The sequence below is a fragment of the Homo sapiens genome, chromosome 17 (assembly GCF_000001405.40).
Source record: "Homo sapiens chromosome 17, GRCh38.p14 Primary Assembly".
Classification (NCBI taxonomy): domain Eukaryota; kingdom Metazoa; phylum Chordata; class Mammalia; order Primates; family Hominidae; genus Homo; species Homo sapiens.
This window is the reverse complement of record NC_000017.11, coordinates 20,601,856-20,612,436: the sequence shown is the minus strand read 5'-3', so window position 1 is coordinate 20,612,436 and position 10,581 is coordinate 20,601,856.

Below are 10,581 nucleotides of genomic sequence, written 5' to 3'. Positions count from 1 at the left end.
TGAGACAGGGCCTCACTCTGTTGTTTAGGCTGTGGTGCCATCATAGCTCAATGCAGCCTTGAACTCCTGGGCTTAAGTGATCCTCCTGCTTCAGCCTCCTGAGTAGCTGGGACTACAGGTGGTGCCACCATATCTGGCTTTTATTATTATTATTTTTAGTAGAGAGAAGGTGATATGGTTTGGATCTGTGTCCCCACCTAAATCTTATGTCGAACTGTAATCCCTAGTGGTGGAGGTGGGGCCTGGTGGGAGGTGACTGGATTATGGGGAAGGTTTCTCATGAATGGTTAACACCATTGTCTTGGTGCTGTTCTTGCGACAGTGAGTTCTTGTGAGATCTGGTTGTTTAAAAGTGTGCAGCGCCTCCCCGCTTGCTTTCTATTGCTCCTGCTCCCGCCGGGTGAGAGATCTCACTCCCCTTCCCCTTCTGCCATGATTGAAGGCTTCCTGAGGCCTCCCCAGAAGGAGAAGCTGCCATGCTTCCTGCATAGCCTGCAGAACCTTGAGACAATTAAACCTCTTTTCTTAATAAATTACCCAGTCTCAGGTATTTCTTTATAGCAGTGTGAGAATGGACTAATACACAGGGTCTTGCTGTGTTGTCGAGGCTGGTCTTGAACTCCTGGGCTCAGGTGATCCTCTCACATAAGCCTCCCAAAGTGCTGGGATTAAAGGTGTGAGCCACCATGCCCAGCCTCAAATTTTTCATTTACACCACACAGATCAAATTGGGTTCTTCTGAGCATCTTGTGTGTTAGAGATGCAGCCTGGAGGCTTTGTCCTGGTTATTTCCATTGCCCATTGTCTCTCCTGTCACGTGAAGCCACCTGAGAGGGCCTTTGGAACAGCACTGCCCCTTTCTGCAGAGAGCCAGTTGGCCATGTGTGACGGGGCATGCTTCCTCTCGGCATGGCTGTGCCCCTCCACTGAGGAGTAGAGTGAGTCCCTCCAGAGGCTGCCGGGAACAATGCATGTGCTGGACGCCCCATAGGAATTAAAGGGGACACATGACGCTTGGAGGCTCTGATGACCAGGCCAGGATGTTCTCCAGAGGTGACAAGAAGTGTTCTGATAAGAAAACACATCAGTTTCTAAAGCAGCCCTCAGTCCGTAGGAGAAGCACGTGCCCCAGCCTGTGATCCTGACAGAAACTAGATGGCCATGAGGAGCGGCCTTGAACACATGTTCTTGTCACGGCTTCATCCAGCACCTTCTGTTGACCCACTAGGCCTTGGCTCATCCTGGGTCCCTCTGTCGTTAGCTCTGCAGATCCCCTAAGCTCTTCCCTCCCCAGCCTCTCTTCCCTCTGGGCCCATTTTCAGAGGCCCACATTGACCACTTTCGGTGAGACTTTTCCTGAGGGTCATCTTTTTGTGACCCTAATCCAGGGCTGAGCGATGCCCGCTATATGACTCACCAAATGACCAGTTTCTACTGGGTTGTGTCCTCACAGCCCCGCAGTCCTGACGAGCACCTGGCCGAGGCTGCTGGCAAATGCCAGGCACCAGTCATTAGGAGCCTTGGGGCCACCCCAGGGCAGCCTCCCAAGCCCACCCCTTCCTAGGAGAGACTCTTGAGCAGGGAGGCAGGGCTCCCTCTGAGGAAGGAGGACACGCTCATACTCTGGCCTCAGGCTAGGGAAGGACACAGGTTCTGAGACGCAGGAAGCCTCTGCAGCAGAGTCATTGTCACTGCAAAATCACCACCACTTTGATTTAATCATAGCTGTTTAGAAAAGGAGAAACAAAAAAAGGACAAAACCTGAATGTACACCAAGAGATAAATGTGCTACTGTACCACCTCCAAATAATTGGTTAAATTCCAAATGACATGGTCTCTATATTAACTTATTCTTGATTGTGAATTACCTTCCAATTAGATCTGTATGTAAAACGGAGCTGTAAAGATTCCCACTCTTGGCCGAGCGCAGTGGCTTCTGCCTGTAATCCCAGCAGTTTGAGAGGCCGAGGTGGGTGGATCACGAGGTCAAGAGATTGAGACCATCCTGGCCAAGATGGTGAAACCCCGTCTCTACTAAAAGTACAAAAATTAGCCAGGCATGGTGGTATGCACCTGTAGTCCCAGCTATTCGGGAGGCTGAGGCAGGAGAATCACTTGAACCCGGGAGGCGGAGGTTGCAGTGAGCCGAGATCACACCATTGCACTCCAGCCTGGCGACAGAGCGAGACTCTGTCTCGAAAAAAAAGATTCCCACTCTAGGAGTGGCATACATCTACAGATTTCCAAAGCAAGTCTCCCCGCCCTGACTCCTGCAAGCCTCTCCTCCTGTCCCAGGCCCCAGGCCCCCACCAGGTCCTCTTCACACAGAACAAGTTGCTATTGTCTCTCCCTCCTTAAAAAACTCCCTTAACCCCACCTTGCCTGGAGCCAGTCTCTGCTCCATATTTTGATATTCAAGGCCCCTTACAATGTGGCCCAGCCCACCTCCCAAGACTCAGCTCTCTGCAGCTCTCTGTAGTTTCCTAAAATACAAGTTCCATCCTGTTGCACTGCCCTGTAAGCTCACAGTGTCCTTCCGTGCCTCTGTGCCCTGCATGGAGGTTTGTTCTGCCCGAAATGCCCCATCCCCTCGGGGCAACTGTTTAAATCTCTGATCGCTAATGTGGCACATCTGCAGTCTTGCCCTCTGTGGAGCAGCAGTGCCTGACCTCACAGTAAACTCCTCCACTTTGTCCTCCCTGTTCTGATGGTGTTTCTGTGTGGACCCAGGTGCAGCCCAGGCTCTGCACTGTGCTTGTTCTCATGCCTGCAGCTGGCACCAGATATTCTGCAGACTCATTGATTCCTTTCTCTTTTATCTCCCAGGGTTTTCAAAAGAAACACAAATGCAGGCAGCATGGTGCACTACAGACTCCAGCCTCCCTTTGAAGCCAGGTTCCAGAGCTTCCTCCCTTTGGCCTGGAACCTCAACAGCAGGATTGGGATGAGGATGGAAGTGTACAGATATGCATATAGTATTGCTTATCCCCAGCTGAAATCAATGTTGGCATGACATGTTGCAAAACCAAACTGACATTGAACATGACTTTTTTCAGCCCTTTAAATAGCTGTTCACGTAGAACTTAGTTTTTTATGGAAGACCTTGATAATCCTGTCTTTAGTTACTTTAGAAGTTAACTTCCTGGGTAGACTTGAATTGAGTCTTATTCATCTTTAAATTTCCAGGGTTTAGCAAAGTACCTGCTTCAGAGTAGGCGTTAATAAAACTAATGCCCTTCAAATCAACAAGAGGATTTCCTGTGAGGGGTGGTCCTGTTTTCTGACACTCAGATGGCTCTGAGTATGGCATCTCAGAAAAAAGAAAGAAAGAAAAAAAAAAGATTGGGCTGGGCGCGGTGGCTCATGCCTGTAATCCCAGCACTTTGGGAGGCTGAGGCAGGTGGATCACAAGGTCAGGAGATTGAGACCATTCTGGCTAACACAGTGAAACCCTGCCTCTACTAAAAATAAAAAAAATTTAGCCCGGCATTGTGGCATACGCTTGTAGTTCCAGCTACTTGGGAGGCTGAGGCAGAAGAATGGTGTGAACCTGAGAGACGGAGCTTGCAGTGAGCCGAGATCACACCACTGCACTCCAGACTGGGCAACAGAGTGAGACTCCATCTCAAAAAAAAAAAAAAAAAAGGCCGGGCACTGTGGCTCACGCCTGTAATACCAGCACTTTGGGAGGCCGAGGAGGGCGGATCACGAGGTCAGGAGAGCAAGACCATGCTGGCTAACGCGGTGAAACCCTGTCTCTACTAAAAATACAAAAAATTAGCCGGGCGTGGTGGCGGGTGCCTGTAGTCCTAGCTACTCGGGAGGCTGAGGCAGGAGAATGGTGTGAACCCAGGAGGCGGAGCTTGCAGTGAGCCGAGATCGTGCCACTGCACTCCAGCCTGGGTGACAGAGTGAGACTCCATCTCAAAAAAAAAAAAAAAAAATTGGCTGCTTCAGTGGAAAAAAATAGGTTTTATTTAACAGCATCAATACATGTTAATATTTATAAACCTGTTATTCTGTAAAAATAAAGAATATGTATTTTGAAATGTTTAGGGAGCATATGGAGAAAAAAGAGGCTACCTATAGAACCTCCTTCTATTCAGTACCGGGCCTGCTCTGAGTAGATTTGAGTTTAGAAAATGCATTAATGGGAAGATAACAACATGGGAGGAAAGTGGATGTAGTCACCTTCCCTGATGAAGGAAAACCTGGAAGCTAATACTGATGTTTAGTCATATGAGAGAATGCTGCTCCTTGTTATCTACTCCCAGTGTGGAAAACACAGAAAATAGTCAAGCTAATTAGAAAAAGCACTAGCTCAGGTCGGGCGTGGTGGCTAATGCCTGTAATCCCAGCATTTTGGGAGGCCAAGGCGAGTGCATTACTTGAGGTTAGGGGTTCAAGACCAGCCTGACCAACATGGTGAAACTTAATCTCTACTAAAAATAAAAATAAATAGCTGGGCGTGGTGGTGCGCACCTGTAATCCCAGCTCCTCAGGAAGCTGAAGTAGGAGAATTGCTTGAACTTAGGAGGTGGAGGTTACAGTAAGCCGAGATTGTGTGCCACTGCACTCCAGCCTGGGAGACAGAGCGAGACTCCGCCAAAAAAAAAAAAAAAAGGAAATAAAAGAAAGGGAGATATAATAGGAAAGAAAGACAGAGAGAGAGAAGGAAGGAAGGAAGGAGGGAGGGAGAGAAGGAAGGAAGGAAGGAAGGAAGGAAGGAAGGAAGGAAAGGAAGGAAGGAAGGAAAAGAAGCGAAGCGAAGCAAAGCAAAGCAAAGAAAAGAGAAAAGAACACTAGCTCAATTCGGTTCAATATCTGCTCATGGAACTTTTCCCCTGTGCAGGGCACGGTGCTGAGCAAGATGTGCGAAGCACGGTCCTGTGTCCAGGTGCTGAAGAGCTGGTGCAGGTGAGGGAAGATGTGGATTTATTTGTAGCCAAATTTGAGAATGAGATTCTGATTCTCAGTTTATTCAAACATATGAATAGAGGATATATTTTGATCTAAGAATAAATGGGATACATTTCTCTAAACTTTAATAGCCTTAAGCTTTTTATTTGATGTTAAGTAGGAAAGTAGTATTAGTAATCCTAGAATCATATGAAACACAGCACCCTCTCATACTTTTCGATATGAGATCCTATTTTAATACTATTTTATTTTTTCTAATTCCTGTTAAAGTTATTATGCAATTAGTCACTGATTTATTTTTAATCACTTCCCAAATTAAACTTGCTAGCAAACTATTCGTCTAAGAGTGTAACTAAGAATTTGTTGAAAGAAAATGTTGAGACACATGAATACACATTTAATAAGGTATAGCAGAACCAGCATAGTTGGATTACATAGCAATAACTAAATTAAGTTAAAGATATGTAACTTTCATGCATTTAAAATGCTATTTTTTTTTTTTTTTTTTTTGAGACGGAGTCTCACTCTGTCACCCAGCCTGGAGTGCAGTGGTGCAATCTCGGCTCACTGCAAGCTCCGCATCCCGAGTTCATGCCATTCTCCTGCCTCAGCCTCCCAAGTAGCTGGGACTACAGGCGCCCGCCACCACGCCCGGCTAATTTTTGTATTTTTAGTACAGACGGGGTTTCACAGTGTTAGCCAGGATGGTCTCGATCTCCTGACCACGTGATCTGCCCGCCTCGGCCTCCCAAAGTGCTGGGATTACAGGCATGAGCCACCGCGCCCAGCCTTAAAATACTTTTTTTTTTTTTTTTTTTTTTGAGACAGAGTCTCGCTCTGTCCCCCAGGCTGGAGTGCAGTGGCGCAATCTCGGCTCACTGCAGGCTCCGCCCCCCGGGTTCATGCCGTTCTCCTGCCTCAGCCTCCCGAGTAGCTGGGACTACAGGCACCTGCCACCTCGCCGGGCTAACTTTTTGTATTTTTAGTAGAGACGAGGTTTCACCATGTTAGCCAGGATGGTCTCAATCTCCTGACTCGTGATCCACCCGCCTTGGCTTCCCAAAGTGCTGAGACTACAGGCTTGAGCCACCGCTCCCGGCTTAAAATGCTATTTTTAAATACCAGGCATTGTTACCAGACTTTGTGCTTTTTTTTTTTTTTTCAATTACACTTTAAGTTCTAGGATACATGTGCAGAATGTGCAGGTTTGTTACATAGGTATATGCATGCCATGGTGGTTTCCTGCACCCATCAACCTGTCATCTACATTAGGTATTTCTCCTAATGCTATCCCTCCCCTAGCCCCCCCACTGTCAGGCCCCAGTGTGTGATGTTCCCCTCCCTGTGTCCATGTGTTCTCATTGTTCAACTCCCACCTATGAGTGAGAACATGCAGTGTTTGGTTTTCTGTTCCTGTGTTAGTTTGCTGAGAATGATGGTTTCCAGCTTCATCCATGTCCCTGCAAAGGACATGAACTCATCCTTTTTTTATGGCTGCATAGTATTCCATGGTGTGTATGTGCCACATTTTCTTTATCCAGTCTATCATTGATTGTTACCAGACTTTGAAGCCTGAAATGACCTATGATGACTGAAAGACCTCAGAGTTGGACAATAGGACCAGTGACTAGAACACAAAGGCATCTCTAACAAGTAACATTGTTGTCTCACAAGCACTTAAAATGTAACAAGTCCCAACTTGCTTTCTTCACCTGGCTCACACACCCCTAAGCCTACTCTTCCTTCCCTATTCCTTGTCTCTGTTAGTGGTTCTGTCATTCACCAGGAACTTACACTAGAGACTTGGGAGTCATCCTTGACACATCCAGTAAATAGCAAATTCTGAATACTTTATCTCCACATTATACTCAACTGCATTTCATTCTCTCTAGCTCTACTCACCCACTTAATGCAAAGCTGCACTCACCTCGCTTTCTGCAATTGCTTTCTTACTGTAGGTCTCCCTGTCTCTGAACTCAGTAGTACATTATGTTCTCCACATTGCTGCTAAGTTACCTTTGAAAAATGCAAATTAGATATAATTGGTTGCTTGTTTACAACATTCAGCAGCTTTCCATTGCTTCTAAGATAGCACACACTTCTCAGCAAGGTTCACCATCTCACCTCCTGACAGCCTTCGTTTCACCTCCTGCCTCCTCCCCACCAGGCCGCCTTTCAGTCCACTGAGCCACACTCTCTTCTCACCCTTTGCACGTGGGTTTACCTGCTGAAAATGCTTCTTCCCATTTTTTCCACCTGTCTGTTTACATCCCACCATTCAAGTCTCTGCTTAAATATGACTCCTTGGAGATGCATTTCCTGACCTCTAGTCTCAATTTGGACTCTCCCTGTTGAGTTGCTGTTCAGTTGTGTCGGCTAACTTGAGGATTTCTTGAACCATGATTGGGCACTTTCTGATGCATATTTGTAAATGTTATGTGAAGGTAGATTGGTGTATTAAGATTCCCTTGTTTCTTTTCATTCTTGCCTTCTGGACACTTTCAAGAAAGGCGAGCCTTTTTCTGCCTACTTCTTCCATTCTGAGCTGTAAATTGTCACTGTAGTTTCTAGGATTTTAGGATGTTTCCTGTGAAATATATTCCTTCCTCATAGAAGTAAGAAAGTGTGGGAGCACTGTCCACTCAGTGAGGGCAGGGCCAGGCCTGTCCTGTTCACTGTTTTCTCCCAGCCTCCAGCACAGTGAGTGATACCCAGAAGGGGCTGCATCAATGTTAATGGAATGAAGCTGTGCTTGTGGAATGACTGGAATTGGGTCAAGCAGAGAGAAGATGGGGAAAATAGGATTTTAATAAAACAAACTATATTATTAATATCCTTGACAAAGCAGAATTTCAAGAAGACTGTCTATGTCAAAACCAATCTTTTATAGTATACACAGGAATATATGGCCAGGAACAGAAATATTGATGTATTCTTTATATAATATATATTCCAATGAAAGCCATCAGTGGAGTGTACTGAATTACACAATATGGAGGTCCAAAAGAATAATTTATTATGTGAGGTTCTCAACAAAATAGGGAATTCAACTTTCAGATCAAAGATGGCAAACTATCTGCCTGTGAGCGGTTCTCACCATGGCCACCTCAAAACAATCAGAGCCAGGCTCAGTAACCACAGCTAGAGGATTCTGCAGTGCATGGGGTGGCAAACACCTTCCACGAAGGGCAGCCAGCGAGTATTTTAGGTATTTTGTTTTGTTTTCATGTTTGTTTTTTTAATAACCCTTTACAAATTAGCTCTCAGGGCTGTACAGCAACAGGTTTCAGAATGATGAGAATAATTTCAGATGAGCAGCCTAATACTCCATACGTCTAAAAAAATAATTCCTAAATTTTATCTGTTGTTTTTTAACCCCCCAAATTGAGCTTAAATTCATTGTCGCTTAAGATTTTAGTTAAACTACTAGGGCTATGGCAGGGTACATTTTTGAAGTGGTTTTGTTACATTTATGGTGCTTCCTATCTGTATTCTATTTTGGTCATTCTATAAGCTTAAATCTGTCAACATATTGAATATGCCTTATAAATATAATTTGATGTTGAGGATGTGGTTAATTGTTCTAGGTACAAGTGGTAGAAGCCACATTAGAGAGAAAGTCAAAGCATTAGGATAAAAGGTTTTAAGGCCATTATTTTGTGTCTCAGTTACCCAGCAAAAATTTTACTAGTCCATTTTGCCTGAAGGGAACGTTTCAGAAAACATAATTTAGGTGCTTTAGAGCAGTGGTTCTCAAAAAATATAGTCACCAGACCAGTGCTTCAGCGATCTGGGTTTAGCAAACACATCAGGACCTCTCATGCAAAGAGGATTAGTGTAACCATTACCCAGCAGTAGTGGCAACAGGGGAGCCGAGGACAGAAACCTTTTGACCAAAGTAGCCTTGGCAAACTCATTTGTGGCAAAGAAATTTCTTGTTAGCTACCTGCAAAAAATAAACCTTAATTATAATTCTGGCTTTCAGTGACATACATAGAGATACGCTATACTCCTAAAATGTGAAAATACTTAGATAAGACTTCATTTGAATTTGACAGAGTTATGTTTTTATCAGGCATGTTCATTTAATTATTCAATAAAATAATTTAGTTGACATGATTGTTAGTGTGCAGTGTTTGTGTATTATACACTGGGTATAAATCAAACTAATGAATTTGACAGAGATTGCTGCATAAAATGTGTTACTATGAGTTCTAAACACAAATATTGTACTGTAAATATTTTAATCTGAATGAATTACATGTTCATGTATTCATTAGCCATAACATGTTTTTTGAAATTAAAAAGGCAATATCATATTACTGGCTTGAAAGACCTCAGCTTCATATTTTATTGTTTTTTTTTTCTTGCACCTAGATTGATTACACAAGTTTTTTGTTGGTGGTGGTGGTGGTGGTTTTTTTTTTTTTTGAGACAGAGTCTCGCTCTGTCGCCCAGGCTGGAGTGCAGTGGCGCAATCTCGGCTCACTGCAAGCTCCGCTTCCCGGGTTCACGCCATTCTCCTGCCTCAGCCTCCTGAGTAGCTGGGACTACAGGTGCCCGCCACCACGCTCGGCTAATTTTTTGTATTTTTAGTAGAGACGGGGTTTCATCGTGTTAGCCAAGATGGTCTCGATCTTCTGACCTCATGATCCTCCCACCTCGGCCTTCCAAAGTGCTGGGATTACAGGCGTGAGCCACCGCGCCCGGCCTTTTTTTTATTGAGAAAGAGTCTCGCTCTGTTGCCAGCCTGGAGTGCACTGGTGTGATCTTGGCTCACCGCAACCTCCAACTCCCTGGTTCAAGCGATTCTCCTGTCTCAGCCTCTCGAGTAGGTGGGATTACAGGCATATGCCACAGACATTAATTTTTCTTTCTTTTTCTTTTTTTTTTTTTTGAGACAGAGTCTCGCTCTTTCGCCCAGGCCGGACTGCAGTGGCGCTATCTCGGCTCACTGCAAGCTCCACCTCCCGGGTTCATGCCATTCTCCTGCCTCAGCCTCTCTAGTAGCTGAGACTACAGGCGCCCGCCACTGCGCCCGGCTAATTTTTTGTATTTTTAGTAGAGACGGAGTTTCACAGTGTTAGCCAGGATGGTCTCGATCTCCGGACCTCGTGATCCGCCCGCCTCGGCCTCCCAAAGTGCTGGGATTACAGGCGTGAGCCACCGCGCCCGGCCTAGTCATGTATTTTTAAAGGACAATTATAACTTTTTTTCAGCTTGTGAAATATGAAAAATGGCCGGGCGTGGCCGGGCGCGGTGGCTCACGCCTGTAATCCCAGCACTTTGTGAGGCCGAGGTGGGTGGATCATGAGGTCAGGAGATCACGACCATCCTGGCTAACACGGTGAAACCCAGTCTCTACTAAAAATACCAAAAAAAAAAAAAAAAAAAAAAAACTAGTCGGGCGTGGTGGCGGGCACCTGTACTCCCAGCTACTCGAGAGGCTGAGGCAGGAGAATGGCATGAACCGGGGAAGCGGAGCTTGCAGTGAGCCAAGATTGCCCCACTGCACTCCAACCTGGGCAGCAGAGTGAGACTCCGTCTCAAAAAAAAAAAAAGAAAGAAAGAAAAGAAAAGAAACGAAAAAAAAAAATGGCCAGGCACAGTGGCTCAGACCTGTAATCCCAGCATTTTGAGAGGCTGAGGTGGGCGGATCAC